Source organism: Homo sapiens, chromosome 20, assembly GCF_000001405.40.
Source record: "Homo sapiens chromosome 20, GRCh38.p14 Primary Assembly".
Taxonomy (NCBI): domain Eukaryota; kingdom Metazoa; phylum Chordata; class Mammalia; order Primates; family Hominidae; genus Homo; species Homo sapiens.
Window position 1 is genome coordinate 55652314 of NC_000020.11, and position 18035 is coordinate 55670348.

General features: G+C 38.8%; 1 long non-coding RNA gene across 2 annotated transcripts in view, besides 1 other annotated feature; it reads right to left on the bottom strand.

The window, feature by feature from the left end:
• Positions 1–12463: 12463 nt before the first annotated feature.
• LOC107984001 (uncharacterized) overlaps positions 12464–18035 on the bottom strand; it is an 80255-nt gene continuing 74683 nt past the window's right edge. Inside the window, exons 3-5 of one of the 2 annotated variants that reach the window (XR_007067757.1) lie at positions 15189–15313; positions 14027–14502; positions 12464–13012 (exon numbers count right to left, since the gene is read on the bottom strand). This is a non-coding gene — a long non-coding RNA (uncharacterized LOC107984001). Of the gene's footprint in view, positions 14503–15188; positions 15314–18035 lie in introns of both variants that reach the window. The other variant, XR_936884.3, reaches the window with a different exon arrangement.
• Positions 14275–17301: an enhancer, noted in NCBI's record as "VISTA enhancer hs1448". NCBI's record gives its function as "enhancer in: limb[4/4] | tail[4/4]" and the evidence as "EXISTENCE:transgenic organism evidence [ECO:0001131][PMID:17130149]".

The window sequence follows — 18035 nt, forward strand, 5'->3', positions numbered from 1 at the left end:
AGGCCAGGCATGGTGGTTCAAGACTGTAATACCAGCACTTTGGGAGGTTGAGGCAGGAGGATCACATGAGGTCAGGAGTTCAAGACCAGCCTGGCCAACATGGTGAAACCCCATCTCTACTAAAAATACAACAAAAAATTAGTCGGGCATCATGACGCATGCCTGTATTCCCAGCTACTCAGCAGGCCGAGACAGGAGAATCTTGAACCCGGGAAGTTGTAATTTGATCGCAATGTGGTCATGGTAGCATGCGAAAGAGAGGCTTGAACCCAGGAAGCAGAGGTTGCAGTGAGCCGAGATTGTACCACTGCACTCCAGCCTGGGCAACAGAGTGAGACTCCATTTCAAATAAATAAATAAATAAATAAATAAATAAATAAAATCTTTAATGTGTTCATTTTTCATCTGTATGAGAATTACGATTTGTATCTTTTTTATTAATATTACCCTTCAACATACGTGTGTCGGAATCTCTCAGTCTTCATAACACCTAACTGGTTTTTCATAGTCTTAAACCTCTTTGTCATATATGATGGTGAATTCTCAGTAATATCGGCAATACTAATTCTCTTTTTGACAATGTCCATTCTAGAATTTGGCCATTCACCGCATGCCTCATTTGAAGGGTTATGCTTCTAATGTCAACATTTCCGCATTTCCTGTTTCATTGCATCTTATTTTATACTCTCTTATTCTTCCTCATGGACACAGTTTCCGCAGATAAGTCTTTGAGTTTCTTAAACATACCTAAGACAAAAAGCTTCATCTGCGCAAGGCATCCTGAACAGTGCCTGACACGTGTCCACATTCAAAGAATAGTTGTTGTCTTAGGTTAAGTTTTTCCAGATGGGTTGGTCTAATGGTTCTAATTGCTTATTTTGCAGCCTCCTTGGCATTAATTTCCTGTGCTTTATTCACAAACCATTCTAACATAGCACATCTGCACTTACTGCACATACATACGAAAACTTTGAGTGGAATGAATTACTTATTTTTCACTTTCCCTTGGTGATCACACACATGTACACACACATACACACACTACTTTTGTTTATGCCTCCACCAGCCCTCTGAGTCTCCTATCTGGCATTGGCCTTTTAATGGCAATTTGAGATTCCAATTTTGTAGAGACAAAGAGGACACCCCATATCCAGCCACTGAATCGGGTGATTTCATTTGAGACTTGGTTTCAAGGCTAAGACTGCAGTCTCATATTTCCCTAGGTCTTCAGCTTTCTGAAATCATAAGCCTGGCAACAATCTGCAGAGTTTCTTCTAGTGGGTTTACAGAGCAGTCCCATCCCAACTCTGTCCTCTAAGCCATAAGCATGCCTCTGTTTTCCTACCTTCATATTTTTAACCTGATTACCTGCAGGCACTGTCCTCCCAGCCAGGGCTGCCTGCATCCAGACCAGGAGCTCAGCATGAGATGTTCATTCTGTTTCCAAGCCTAGCTATGTCTCTGTTGGTATTTCTTGCTTGACATTTCGTCTATCATGACTGTTTCTGAAACTGAGAGATTAAGTCAAAGTATGATAATACCATAATATTTTGACCACAACTGTGTTTATTATTCACATTGTATAACATGACTCATTTGCATATTAACAAAATAAAATAAAACTTTGCATTGACAGAAAAGTCCACTAGTTACACTACTTAGAAAGACATAAATAGAAGTGACTAAAAAAAAAAAACTTAATGGGAGCTTGATATTTTTTTTTTTTCACGTGCCACTATGACAACAGTGCAATCAAATTAGAACTCAGGATTAAGAAACTCCCTCAAAACCGCGTAACTACATGGAAACTGAACAACCTGCTCCTGAATGACTACTGGGTAAACAACGAAATGAAGGCAGAAATAAATAAGTTCTTTGAAACCAATGAGAACAAAGACACCACATACCAGAATCTCGGAGACACATTTAAAGCAGTGTCTAAAGGGAAGTTTATAGCACTAACTGCCCACAAGAGAAAGCAGAAAAGATCTAAAATCGACACCCTAACATCACAATTAAAAGAACTAGAGAAGCAAGAGCAAACAAATGGAAAAGCTAGCAGAAGACAAGAAATACGTAAGATAATTAATTTTAAAATAACCTTTAGAAAAGCTAATGAATATTGCACTGATATCTACAAACTGATAAAAACTTTGCTGCCACCTCCAACATGCAATATTAAAACATTAAATATTTTAAAATCGCTCCAAAAATAATGTTAATCCTTGTTTTTTTCTGTAATTTTCCAATTCTAAAGACAATCCACTAGTCTGGTGTACACTTTTGAGCTATTCTGTCCACCACCTATTAAGAAGATAATATCTTAATTCAAAGGAGGTTCATACAAAGAGACAGAAAATTGACTGCTTAATGAGTTTGCAATGATTCCTTTCTAATAAACTTAGCACATCTGCATTACTGGTCATATATATGAAGAGTGAAGTTTGAATTTGTTCCTTGAAGCTTATGTAGAAATCAGAAAAGCAGACATTTTTTCCAGTGTCATATCTGAACATACCTGTGTATTCTTTGGGTTCTTCTCATCAAAACTCAGAATAACAGATCCTGGCCAGGTGTGGCTCATGCCTATAATCCCAGCACTTCGGGAGGCTGAAGCAGGTGGATCACCTGAGGTCAGGAGTTCGAAACCAACCTGGCCAACATGGTGAAACCCTGTGTCTACTAAATACACAAGAAGTATCTGGACATAGTGGTGGGCACATGTAATCCCAGCTACTGAGGAGGCTGAGGCAGGAGAATCACTTGAACCTGGAAGGCGGAGGTTGCAGCGAGCTGAGATCGCGCCACTGCATGCCAACCCGGGTGACAAGGGCAAAACTCCATCTCAAAAAAAAAAAAATCCTGGAGATTTTAAAGATGGGCAGTATCAATTAGATTGGCAGTAACCAAGGCTAATTTAACTTCCAAGGGACATTTGACACTATCTGGAGACACTTTTGGTTATCAAAATGGAAAGAATATACAGTTGGCATTGAATGGGTAAGAGGCCAGAGTTGTTGCAAAACATCCTCCAATGCACAGGACGCCCCCTGGATAAAGATTAATCTAGACCTAAACGTCAGTAGGGCAAATGCTGAGAAACTCAGGGGCAGACTTTACAATTCCCATTTGAGAAGCGTTTAATAAATTGTATGTCTAATATATATATATACACACACATATACATATATACACATATATACATATATACATGTGTACATATATACATATATACATATGTGTACATATATCCAGAGAAGATATGCATATATTTATACATTTATGTACATAACATCACTGTGTATGTATATGCAGGGTGTTTTACTTTGCAGGAAAACATGTTGTTATTAAATTTAGGAAATTTCCTCCCACATGTCTTGGTTTATCCCACAAGAGCTTGCTGTGCTCAAAGATACTACCTTGACTGAGCACTTTCTCATAAACTTGCTGAACCTTCATAAAGATCCCAGGTGGGTATTATTATTATTCCCTCAGTGCAGATGAGAATACTGAGATCGAGAAGCGTTTAGTAACTTCCCTGAGGCCATAGAACTGGTAAGTGGAGGAGCCAAGATTCTCACCCAGTCTAGTTCATCTTACTCATTGTTTGCAGTGTTTAATTGCTTACCCAATAAGGTCATTAAGGCACTTTCCACTGGGAAGTGTTGCCTTCCATCTCTTAGGAATGGTAGATGTATGTACTAGTTGGCACTTAAGAAGTGGTGATGTCTGAAACATTAAGAAAACTTCAGCAGTGAAAGAAGGCACACATCAAAGCCACAGAGATGAATGCTAATGAGAAGAGTAAACATATGAAACTGCTTTTTTCTTCCTTCAAAAACAATTTCCAAGTCCCTACCAGGTGCTGTGCAGATAAAGCAGGGTCACAGAAGTGCTTTTCTGCACAGGTTGAGCAGGAGGTGCACCGAGGCACAGTCTTAGCCTGAGGTGTTTCTTATAGCTAAGCTGAGAATTACGTTTGATTCACATTGGCTGGATTTCATTGCAGGATCCTGGAGTGCCCAGAAAACCCAAAAGAAGCAGACTCAGGCTGCGATCAGAAGAATTTTATTATCCAAGTTGCAACATGCAAATATCTTCTTTGCAGTCTGCTTTCTGCAAACATCAAGTGAAAAAAATAAGCAGGAAAAATGAGAAAAAAAAAAAAAAAAACTGGTACAGTTCATGCTTCACAAAGTCCTGTAGGTTATTACCATGTTTTAAGTTGTGAGTTGCAAACACAAGCTGTTCTTAAACAAGAACAAAAAGAAAAAGCAGATGGTTTCTTTTTACATCCTGTGAAACTTTTCCTGAATATAAGCATATGTTCCCTTCTCCCCAGCTGGCATTCCCCATGCAAATGATCAGTTTGGGGTTTTTTTTGTTTTTGTTTGTAATTTTGAGGAAAATTCTTGATGCCCATCCCCCATCCCACTCTAAATCCCATAATACCTAGAAATAAGAACAGGGAAAGGCAATCGCCAAAATATTTGATCAAAGTAAGTCTTTGAGGCATCATTGCTGTGTAGAAGTATGTTTGAGCCTAAGTATCATCCTGACTTTATCGTTATTACTATTATTTTTACATTATGTCTATTTTTCTCAACAAACATCTTTCTTGGTACTCAATTGTTTTTCCTATATGTGACATGGTAGAAAAATGTGAGATTTGCAGTTATAAAGACTTGGATTCAAGTTTACTTACTTATTAAATGACTGTTACCTTTGGGAAAATTATTTTAAATTTATTTTAAAATATTTTTATTCTCTGTGACCCTCAGTTTTATAATTCACAAAGTGGAGACAATAACATCTCCATTTTCACAGAGATTTAGAAGAGAAATATATATAAGGTACTGGAACAAGGCTGACCCTCAATAAATGGTTACTATTTTGAACTCCGGGCAAATTGTATAACCTCGAACCACTCACTTCTCAAAAATCTGGTTCTTCGACCAGCAGCATCGGCAGGATTCAGAAGCTTGTTAAAAATCCCAAAATCTCAGATCTGCTACATTTTGTTCTGCATTGTAAATAAGCCCCCTAGATGATTCTTAATCTCATTTCAGTTTGAGAGACACTGCACTAAATCTTATTTGCCTCATTCACATATATAGTGACAGCACTAGCACTTACTTCATAGAAGTATTGGAAGATGAAATAAGATAGTGTATTATTTGTATAGTATTGCATGAAGTGCCTAGCACATACTACCTTTTAAATAAATGGTAGTTATTATTGAGGTGTTACTGCTTTATTGGTGGTGTTGATCTGGAAATGTATATGGGAACTTCAAGAGCCTTGAATGGGCTTCAGTTTTGCTCAATTATCTGCATTGTTTTAAAAGAGTTTCCCACAGATGTTAACTATCATCCTGGCTTAGGTGGACTGCAATTGTGTTTGCTTCACTACACATCTTAGCAGCCAAAAGAGTGTCTCTCTTGTTACTACTTAAATTCTTCTTGTGCCTTAAGAGGTATAGGAGGAGGAGAATCCAATGTTTCTGAACAGTTTTGTTTTATAGCCAGATACAACTGTTACAGTCAAAGCGCTACTTGCTCCAATATTAGTTATCTATGGCTATGTAAAAAAACTATCCCAAACTTAGTACAAAACAAAACAAAAAGCCATTTAAATCATGCAGTTTGAGGGGATCAGTTATTCAGGAGAAGCCTAGCTGGGTAGCTCTGGCATGAGATCCTGCCTGAGATCGCAGTCCATTTGATGACCAGAGCTGGAATCATCTGAAGGCTTGACTGAGGCTGGAGGTTCAGCTTTCAAGGTGGTTCACACATGTGACTGTTAGCTTGAACCAGCAATCAGAGAGAGACATTGAGAGGTGGAGGAGAGAAAAGCTATAGTGGCCTTTATAACCTCATCTCACAAGTGACACACCATCATTTCCATTGTATTCTATTGGTCACACACACCAACCCTGGTACAATGTGGAAAGGTACTACAGAAGGGTGTGACTACCAGGAAGCAGAGATTGCTGGGGACCATCTTGAAGGCTGGCTACCACAGTCTCTGGCCCACTAATTTATACGAAAGTAGATGAGTGTAATGAATATAATGCAACCTCCCAATTAATTTCATATCCAGTTCAACTTGTCTCTCTTCCAAGAAGCTTCTCTGCCAAGATATATTTTTCAATCATCTCCCTCCTATAAATGTTGACAGCATTTGTTCACGCTCTACTCTTTTAAAGATGTCATTTTGCTCCATTTTTATTTCACAAATGCCAGTCTAGTCACCTTGAGGGCAAAAGTTGTGTCAAATTATTTTAAGGATTCCTTAAAATTTTCAGTATGTGCTAAGTATATAGTAGGTACTCATAATAATTATACTTTAAATGATTAAAACATAAGTGTTAGCTAAAAACTAAATTTTGTTGGATTAACTGGCTTAGATTCTACAGAATGGTCAAGGCAAAATGTGATTGCAATTTATTTTTAGTTTCACCAATAATCCTATAGAATCATTTTTAGGAAAATAGGTCTTGAAAAGCACATTCTAAACATTATAATGCAGTAAAATCTCAGTTTACAAGAATCCAACTAATCATACTCAGCAGTTTAAAACAGAACCAGAATCTGACTATCTAGAATAAATTTACCACATAATTTTATCCTTAGACTGTATATATATATAATATATGACAAAATAGTATTAGGTTATTTATTTATAAGATGGGCCAACAGGATATCTGTCAGAGTCAGTGTAAATTCAAACCCACCTCTTTGATCTTTCAAATATGTAGCCTGGACATTCTTTTTAAAATTGTCTTGAAGCCTTCTAGAACTCTTGGTCATTAAACCGCAGCTTCATGTTGTCTATTATATGCAAGAAAACATGCCTATTCACACTGAATCCTTGCACATATCTACTTGATGGTCTTGGCCTTGCCTTTCCCTTTGCTACAACCTTCTTCCCCTAGATATCCACCCACAGAGCTTGCCTCTTCACCTCCTAAAGAACTTCACTCAAATGGCACCATCTCAATGAGGCTTACCCTGGTGACGATATTCCATGTGGCAATCATCATTTATACACCCTCAGCATGGCTGATTCCCATTAACCATGCCTAATGGTTTTTTTGACCTAGTACATATCACCTTCTAAAAATATATATAATTTACTGATTTCTTATGTTTATTGTCTTTCTCTGGAAAGTGGCAGCTTCCCCAGGACAGGGACTGTTGCCTCTTTTACTTCCCAGTGTATCCTAAGTGCCCGAACCAGTGCCTGGAACATAACGTATGCTTAACAGGAATTTTTTTGAGTAAATGAATGAATTGGAAGAATCTTTTCACAATATAATTTGAAACAAAAAAAATCTTTGCTGGTGAGTCTTGAACTAAGTAGATATTTCCTTGGGAAAGACTACTTTCCCAATAATTCTGATTAATTATGGCACATCTTTTAACATATGTGGAAAGCAAATATATTATAAATGGATAAAATATAATGTAAAGCATTTTATTTTAAACATCATTTTCAAAATTCATTAAAGCTACAATATAGAAGTTGGTAGAGTTTATTAGTCAAGTCACTTAAAATCACTTCAGGCTATACAAGCAACTGGCTTGACTGACTTGAATTCAATGACTGAAATCAACGTTTAACTGAATTGATGCACATTCTGTTGATATAAAAGTACATTAACTGTTCTGAAGCTCTAAGTAATGATAGGTTTTTCTTTTTTTTTTAACTTTATCACTAAAACTTTAAGTATGACTGATACCTGCCTTCTGTATTAGAACATATGCAGGAAATTTACTTTTTTTTCTCAAAATGGTAATTCCAGGAGATGATAAAGCCAATATATTTTGAAAAGAAATGACATTACAATAACAATATAACTTTGTAATCAAATATTAATGTTTTTATAAATGTTTATTGTGCTGTTAAATTAAATGAATTCCATGCATGGGCAAAGTAAACTATGTATATTCTGCCATGAAAGAAATGGTAAATCAAATAACTGGGTATTTAACAATGATTTATTTATTTTCAACACTTGCAATGTCCTCATTCCCAAATCCCTAGAAGATAGTTTAATGTATGGAAAAAATGTAAAAATGAATGAAAATGCTCTTATGACATGAAGACTTGTGTAATTATTGGAGTCCAGAATTTACAAATTACATCTTGTGGCGAGTGGTGTTTAGCTTGCTTTGTTAACCTTTCATTCATGTAAAAGCTGAATTAATTTTCCCTGAATTACATTGTTCTCTTTGGAAGATTATGTTTAACTACTTACATTAAAATTCTAAACTTCTCTCATGTAATACAAGCAAAATACACACAATTAACGCAACCACATTAAAAGACTGAGTTGACATATTTTTAATTATAATAATTTATAGAAAATTCTTGTGAAACTTTTTTGACTTTCACTTCTTGGATGGCCCCTGATTTTGCCTGTCAATAAATAGAGAAGAGCAAGGCAGTATGCTGTAGCGCACAAAAAGGTTTAGGTAGATAAGTGTCCCAAAGAGTCCACTGATACAATGCAAGTCCCTGGTTAATGTGTGACAGAAGAATGTAATGCTGGGAAGACATACTCAATAGTCTAGAACTCCTCCAATGTTAATGTAGTTCAGCAAATATTTTTGAGAGCCTATAAATTCAATTTCACAATCTTAAGATCCTTTTCTATTGAACTGATGTTGTGAATTTGTCATAACACTGTTGTTAGAAGAAATTCTAAATTTCTTATCAATGAGATTGACTTTGATATGACCATCATCTACTCATCCACTAATGATGTAGTGGTTGATGTCATAAGAAAAACAGTATTGAGGGCTGGGCACGGTGGCTTCAGAGGTAATGACAACCTGACCAAGCTCTAAGACAAAATAACCGTTTCTGAGGGGATGCCTTCTCTTCAATATTCTACCAACCGTCACCTAAGGAAGACAAGTTCTGAGTGGCATGGCTACAGTGTCAGTGCTAGTGTCAGAAACTACAGCACAGGGCAGATAGATGCATTTTTTAAGATCACCACAAGTCAAGGAAGGACAGAACGGGAAGGAGCAGCTGAGATCACCAAACTCTCTAACTTGATGCATAAGAGAAGTGATGCCCAACAAACAGAAAATGGCTTCTCCAAATCCAGGAATTAAGTTGCAAAACTGGGGCCCCAGATTTTATTTCTGTGAGACCATGATGCCTCATGAACGATAACATGCTGAGGAATTCTCAGTCTTCTGTCTCTGCCTTTCCAGCCAGTTAGGCTAAACCCAAGCCTACTATGTGGCCCTCAGTTTTCCTGCATCAGGATCTCTGGTGTGTTTGTTGAAGGTGCAGAATCCCAGAAGGCAAAGTCCTTCCACCTGCATTTTTAACAAGGCTAATTCTGATGCATATTCAAGCTTGATGACCACTGCTCTAGGCATAATTGAGTCCTAATTCATTCTTTTATTAACTCTTTTCTGAGCCCTTGTTGTGAGATGAAGTATGTTAAGTACTGTGACAAACCCAGATACAGAAAAGAACCTTTAGGCACTACTAATACACTTTTCTGGGTTTAGATTGTAAATGCATCATCTGCCAACAGGATTACTATAACTTTTTTAAATCTTAGGAAAAAAAGTATGTACATGTGTGCAAGTGTATACCAAAACACACACGCTGTGTTACAACTCTTTTGATAACAAGTCACCAAATACTAACTGGAGCAGGAATTTATTTTAAAGATTACTGATACCTATAGACCAGGCTGGAAATCAACAGGGCTTCAGTAACACCCAGAATGAGGAACTCAAATGTTGTGAGAACGCTGCCTCCATTATTCATCTAGGTCTTTCTACTGGTATATGCTTCATTCTTCTCCTCTCTTTCCTGCCCCCTTTCCCCTTTCTTCCCCCCTCTACAATGTGAGGCAGCTCCACTGATTTCCTGTTAATTTCACTTATTCACCCCCATTCCCTACAAACACACACTGACCTCTCTATTTTTCAAACTCATTGAACTCTTTCTTGCCACAAATCATCTGCATTCACTATGCCCTCTGCCTGGCATGCACTTTGCATAGCAGCTGCTTTCTCCATCATTATAATTCAGTTCAAATAGTTACTCTTAAGAGAGGACTTCCCTAGGTATGTACTACTGGCTATTTACTCTGTGCAATGGGTGGCTCACAAAATCCCTGAATAATTAACAATCGGTTTCCATTTGATTATTTATATTCTATTCCACGGCTTATTTACTTTATAGAATTTATCCAAACCTGAAAGTATCTTGTTTATCTATTAGTTTACCCTTGTAACTCCTGTCTTCTCCCACTAGAGTGTGGGCCCCATGCAGTGGTGGGCTACTGCTAGCTCATACAGGCTCATGAGAGCTGATTGTCAAATATGAGGAATTTTCGTGAGCTAGTTTTACACTTGAAGCTTGAAATTGGTCATGGCAGATATACTTGCAACACGGAAATTGGCAAATGCTACAAGTAAGGACTTTTTTTAAACAAATTTCCCAGTGAGTTGGCCCACTAGTACACCACTGGCCCCATGAAAGCAGAGATCTTCTTTCCTTTTTCCCTCTTGCACTGTTAGCACCAGGTTGCAGTTAGTAAGTTGTTGGATGAGCGCATGCATGACTATTATTACTTTAGACAACTCCTTTTTTGTCTCAAAAACAAAATTCAAAGGAAAATTACTCATTTGCTCAACAAGAATGAGGTGCTTATGCTTGAACAATTAACTATTTAAAAAGGTACCAGAATCATGTTATAACTCAATGCTGGGCTACACTTAGCTAGCTGTGGTGATGGAGGCAGCGGTACCATTTCTAGAAAAAGGACTGGGTAAAGAAAAGGAAAAAAAAAAATGATTGCTGCACTTATTTCTTCCACTGAATGAGGCTCTTCTTGAGGCTGAGATGATTTTGTATTCTACTTTGTGGTCCACCTACTCACCAGCACGCTCTAAGAATATTATTTATTTAGGTTAGAATGCAATTATATATTACCATTATAAAGTCTTATACTAGTATGCCATGGACACAAAAATAAATTCAGAAAATTATTCTAAGACACTCCCCACTGGCCAGCAAGCTCTTTAATAATAATTATCTGAGAATAGAAGGAGACTCCATTTGAAACCTTTTTTCTAAATATTTGCAAACTATGCATCTGACAATGGTCTAATATCCAGATTCTATAAGGAACTTAAGAAATTAGCAAGCAAAAACCTAACAATCTCATTAAAAATGGGCAAAGAGGCCAGGCATGGTGGCTCACTCCTGTAATCCCAGCACTTTGGGAGGCCGAGGTGGGTGGATCACCTGAGGTCAGAAGTTCAAGACCAGCCTGGCCAACATGGTGAAACCCTGTCTCCACTAAAAATACAAAAAAAAATAAATAAAATTAGCTGGGTGTGGTGGCAGGCACCTGTAATCCCAGCTACTCAGGAGGCTGAGGCAGGAGAATTACTTGAACCCAGGAGGTGGAGGTTGCAGTAAGCTGAGAATGTGCCATTGCACTCTAGCCTGGGTGACAAGAGCGAAACTCCATCTAAAAAAAAAAAAAAAATCCACATCCCATATCAGTCAGAATGGCTATTACTAAAAAGCCAAAAAGTAATAGAAACTTGTGAGGTTGTGGAGAAAAGTGAATGCTTATGTAGTACTGGTGAAAACATAAATTAGTTTAGCCACTGTGGGAAGCAGTGTGGATGTTTCTCAAAGAACTCAAAACAGAACTACCATTTGACCTAGCAATTCCATTACTGGGTATATATACAAAAGAAAATCAATAATTCTACCAAAAAGACACATGTACTTGTATGTTCATTGCAGCACTAGTTACAATAGCGAAGACATGGAATCCACCTAAATGCCCATCAATGGTGGACTGGATAAAGAAAATGTACCATATATACACAATGGAATACTACACAGCCATAAGAAAAGAATGAGATCATGTCCTTTGCAACCACATGGATGAAGCTAGAGGCTATTATCCTAAGTGAAGTAACGCGAGAACGGAAAACCAAATACTGCATGTTCTCACTTATAAGTGGGAGCTAAACATTGACTACACATGGACACAAAGAAGGGAACAATAGACACCAGGGCCTGGTTGTGTGGGGAGTGGAAGAAGCAGCTGAGTATTGAAAAACTACCTATGCGGTACTATGCTTATTACCTGGGTGATGAAATCATCTGTACACCAAACCCCCTATTTACCTATATAACAAACCTGCACAAGAACCCCTGACCCTAAAATACAAATTGGAAAGAAAAAATAAAAGAAACCTTTCCTCTAAAGCTTCCGTGGTTTATTTAAGGAAACTAGTGAATGTAGGGACACTCATCTGTTGCCTAAACCATTAGGAGGATCCCTCAGGCCAAATTCAACACACATGCCCTCCACACTCCAATTTGTGCTAACAAATCACATATTGCACAGCCTTATGAAAAAATGAGCATTTTTTATAAATAACTTTATTTTGAATTTTTCCCTTGTCCAAATATGTAGTAATAACAAGGGTGATGCGGAGCTCTTTTATAATTCTACCCCTTAGGTGAGAGATTTGGAATAGTTGTTAAAATCTAATTCTCTCTGTCTTTCAAAGAGTATAATCAAAGTACTGTGTCTCTAAGTGGCTGCTTTACTGCCTCACAGAATACGTTATTTGCCTTTTTCTCCAAAAAGGCTTTCCAGCAAGTGCTCTTGGTAAAACGATCTTGACAAAGTTTTGGAGAGAAGAGTGATGCTCCAACATAAAACAGTCTGGAATTAAGCAGCCGAGCTGTATTCACAGTTGCTCTTCACATTTGTCAGAAACGTGGAGCTGATTAAATAGAGGTAAGTTTTCTCCTCCTTGTCCCATTGATTGTTCTCCAGGCTTGGCCCATAAGCAGGTTTTTCTGTGAATTGTGGTCCACTGGAAAAATCAGTTAACATAAAGATACTTGGAAGTTTTCTCTTCCATGGCCCCAGAGCAGGTGGAAACACTTCACAGCAATGGCAACAATCTTGGAAGGATAGTTTTCTGAAATTCACCTGCAATAAACTGCCTGTTAAAGATGGAAAGCCAGTAGGGCATGACCCGGGGATGCTCCCACCACCTCTCAGGTCTCTGAAGATAAGCGATCTCTCTTCTAGTTCTGGGGCAGTAGGCATTTGCCATTAACTACATTTTCTCAAACATATCTGGCAGCCAGGAATCATTTTAGGAGGGTGCTATAAATTTTAACTCAGAGAAAGAAACGGAAATCATGGTGTTCAGTTACTGGTAAAGTTTGGCACATATTATCAAGTAAATTTCTCAGGCTTGATTCTCTAGATTGAGAGAAAACTTGTTCTGAATAAAGGCTTTAAAATCTAGTACTAAGTCAAATGCAAAAATAATAATGTCTAAAAGTTACGTTCTCTTAGGACCCCATTAGACAAAGGAGAGGGTCTCCTGTTCAGAAACTAGCTGTGCTGTTTAATTTTCTTCTCCACCATTGTGTTTCATATCCTTTTATTTTTCCAATAAGGACAAACACACCCCAAGAGAAAGGTCAGCCAACTCAAGCTGCTGTTCTCACCCAGATGGTGAGAATCCCAGGGTCACACTAGCTGGGACAATGTAAAGATTGGAGATGTTCCCTCTCTGGTCACCAGAATTGTCTTAGGCTTAACCTTAGGCCAAGCCCACCCCAGGCCACCCTAACTGAATGACACTCTCTCCTGCAATAGTAATCAGGAATGAACATTTTCATGGCAGTCTTCAAACTTCACTGCATATTTAGAAATGTCTAAGACCATCAGAGAATTACCAATGCTGGGCACCCCAGATCCCAGAAGCTTCTATTTAATTGGTCTGGGACTGGACTGGACATCAGTATTTTCTTTTTAAGTGGCACAGAACAAGTACCTTTTCAAGATTATCAGAATAGGAGAAAAAACTAGACTCACCAGGCTCACTTTGTGATGAGCCAGCTGTGCACATGGACGGGAGGGATGTCTACTCATGCTGGCACTGTGTTTGGGTGCATTTACAAAGATAGAGGATAAGATATTTCAGCTCACCTGCACCAAGTCTGGGACACATTCCATATACATGGACACAGGAACATATACATGAGTTGAAGGGGCCTGCTGGGGACTGTGGGGAGAATCCACTTCTTATCCAAAGGGCCAGATGAGTGTCAGCTCCAGGCAGTGATGCCAGGAGGAACTTTGGCAGGTTGTCCAATGTTTAGGAGAACTGAGAATTGGAGTTTTCTATGAAATCTCTTGATTTCCTAAGCATCCGCTACAAACATACAATTTTGACAGGTTGCCTAAAATTCCACCAATGAGATATGAATCTGGATATAACAAAAAATGTTTCACCTGCAAGTACTCTCATACCTTGGAGTGAATTTGCTCAATGCCACTCTGCATTGAGTAATAGAACCATGTGGGATAATAACAATAGGAGAGAGGTTATTTTGCATCAGGAGAAGGGGATGTTTGCTGAGGGACGCTGGGAAGCCAGGGATTGATGTGTGAGCACCGAATACCTGAAAGACAGGCAGAGATGAGATTAACAGAAAGAAAGGGAGAAATAACAATGACACTGGCTATAAGAATAAACCTAATGCATCCCCGCCTTGCTGGAATTTATGTCTTTGAAGAAGAGGCAGACAGTATGCAAATAAATATATGCCAAGTGATAAGTGATACTGAAGAAAAAGTAGATAGAGCAAGGGAATAGACACCGGAGAGTACTTTCTTAAACAAGGTGGTTCCGGAAGATCTATTTCTTACAAAACGTGAAGGACATGAGGCAGCAAGCCAGTGATATTCCTGGAATAAGATGGTTCCTGGCAAAGGAAAGAGGAAGAGCAAAGACCCAGAGGTGGGAATGAGCCTGGGAAGATTGAGAAACAGCAGTGAAGTCAGCATGGCAGGGGCAGAATGTATGAGGGAAGAGTGATAGGGCGTCAATTCAGAACAGTGAGGAGGGACAGAGATGTGCAAGACTCTGAACCGTTGCACAGATACTGGCCTTTAAGGGAGACAGGTAGGTGTTGGGGGCTTTGAAACAGAGGAGTCACATGATCTGACATACTTCAAAAGGATCACTCTGCATTGAGAACTGCTGTCCTGAGAACATGCTATAGGGGACTATAGGAAAAGCTGGGAGCCCAGCCCAGAGGATATGCAATAATCCATGCAACGCAGAATGCCTCCAAAGTCAACTCACGTTTCTGCTGGCAGAATACTGGGAAATGCAGACTAGGGCGGCAAAGACAGCAGATGTCCAACACAGGCTTAACCATCTTCCATTAAACCGGGCAATTACTGTTTGCCTTCAGCCACATCTGGAAACTAATAGCGGAAGAGAGTATGACATTCTCAGCCAGCTCCATCTTAAGGAAAAGAAATTTCTCCACTCATGTTGCAGGGGTCTAAGGGTAGTGGAAGTCATGGTGGTAAAAAGAGAATGATGGCTTTTCTCCGTAAACAGCCACAAATGTTTGAGTTATGGATAACAATTAAGCCCTAATTGGCAATAATGTAAACCTCTTCTGAATGGATGTGGTAAATATTGAAACAAACGAGCTGCTATTTTTCAGACCTGGATGGCAGTCAGTCAAAATGAAAAGCTAATTTCAGCCTTGGAGGCAAACTCTGTATTTTAATCAAGTGTGACAGAGTGGGAACAATAAATTGGCATTTAAGGTGAGGGGCTATTGACTTCCCTGCTGCAATCCTTGTGATAAGTTGCAATGCCCCCCTTGCAAAATGAAAACAAACTATGGCTTTGATCCAGAGCATAAACATCTAGGGAACTGGCCAGAGGCAGAGTTCAAAGGCAGCTGAAAGCTAAAGGCAAATGGTCCACCTTCCCAGATGTCCAGTGCTGGGAGGACACCTTGTGCTATTTGGTTGTCCTCGCAATTGCCGGCCAATGTAATTAATCAAAAGTTTCTATACTGAGAATCATGAAAATAAAGGAGGGTGCGTGTGTGTGTGTTTGTGTGTGTGTGTTTGTGTGTGTGTGTGAGAGAGAGAGAGTGTGTGTGTGTGTACTCTACCATACTGCAACACAGCACTAAAATCTAATTATGAAGGATCTGAAATAATAATTTAGTAAATGATGTATTCAAGAATTATTAGCTAGGTGCCAATTACATCCAAAGCACGGTTATAGGCGCCGAGGAATCAGCAGCAAACAAAGTTTTCTCAAGTAACTTACATTCTAGTGAAAATAACAGCTAAAACTTTGAGTTTTATGCTGGGGGTCTGGACTGTTCTAAGTGTGTGTGCATTGACATACGTATTTTTCATTATAATCCTATGTGTTAACTACCTTTATTACCTCTGATGTACAATTGAGAATGCTGAGGCACAGGTTCAGGAATGAGGCTAAGGTCACACAGCTATGTATGTCTGCTGGGTACAATAGTAAGCCAGGCAATGACATTGTCCTCTTTAAGCTTCAGGCCTAGAGGGGAATCAAGCATGAAACAAGGAATTTCAAGTGTTTCAACTGTTAACAAAGGAAATGCATGGAATTGGGGCAGGGGAGGGTAATAAGACCCAATCTAGCTTGACTTTTTTTTTTATTATAGCAATAAAACTTGTATTATGGCCTCTCATAAAAATGCATCTGTTTTCCTGAATAACAAGTCTGGCTGATTTGAGGACAATAGTTGGTTTTGTTCTTTGCTAAAACTGGCAGTCCGAAATCCTAATTTCCTTTCTCCATATTCATGTTAACCTCCCTTCCCCAAATCCTATAAGGATGGGCTAAACATGGAAGAGTGAGATGAATATTTTCTAACACATTAAACTTCTAGAATCAAATAGTGTATATAATTTATATATGTAATGTTCTGAAGATTTCGTATCTTCTGTGAGTCTGTCTCCATATATATTATTTATATGTTTTAATATTTCAATAAAGCCAGTAGGGTTCATGTTACTCTGAATCCCTCATTCTAATAAAAGAAAATCAGCTTGTAAAATATTTACTTTATTAATCTTAACATATTGAGGGTACTTTATTAATTGTACAGGGTTTAAGGGTATGATTTTGAAAAAATAAAAAGAAAAATCCTGTCCCTGATAGTCTCAGGTGCTCACCAAGTGACATGATGCTATGTACGTGTATAACTCCTGCTCTAATTCTCGAGAGGTGAGGAGATGTAGAGAATTAAAAACAAAAAGCAAAACTGACTTTCTCAGTAGGCTTTGTTAATTACCTGAAGAAGGAATTGTGAGCTTTTTCACATTAGTGGGGACAATCATAACACAGTAAAAGCTCCAAGTTTCCAGATCGCATTCTCCAAAGGTGTTTTCGAATGGCTGTTTAAGTCCCACCCAGAAAATATAAAGCCATAGAGGAGTTCATTTAGCCATGTCATTAAAAACATTTGGGAAGTCAATCAGCCTCTCTCTTCCTCCATTTCCCGAACTGTTAATGGGAACAATAACTGTGATCTCGTCTGGATATTTGTCTCTGCCCAAATCTCATGTTGAATTGTAATCTCCAGTGTTGGAGGTGGAGCCTGGTAGGAAGTGTTTGGATCATGGGTGGCTTGGGCCATCCCATGGGTGACAAGTGAGCTCTCACTCTGGGTTTCCATGGGATCTGGTTGTTTAAAAGTATGTGGTGCCTCCCTTCCCACTCTTTCTCTCTCTCATTGGCCCCTGTGCTTTCACCATGTGACACGCCTGCTCCCTCTTCGCCTTCCCCCGTGACCGCGAGCTCCCCGAGGCTTCACAAGACGCCGAGTAGATGCCTGCACCATGCTTCCTGTAAAGCCTGCCAAACTACTTTCTTTATAAATTAAACCTCCTTTCTTTATAAATTAACCAGTCTCAGGTATTTCTTTTTGTAAAATCTAAAATAAAATTCAGACTGGGCACTTTGGCTCATGCCTGTAATCCCAGCACTTTGGGAGGCCGAGGAGGGCAGATCACTTGAGGTCAGGAGTTCAAAACCAGCCAGGCCAACATGGTAAAACCCCGGCTCTACTAAAAATATATTTTAAAAATTAGCTGGCCATGGTGGTGGGCACCTGTAATTCCAGCAACTCAAGAG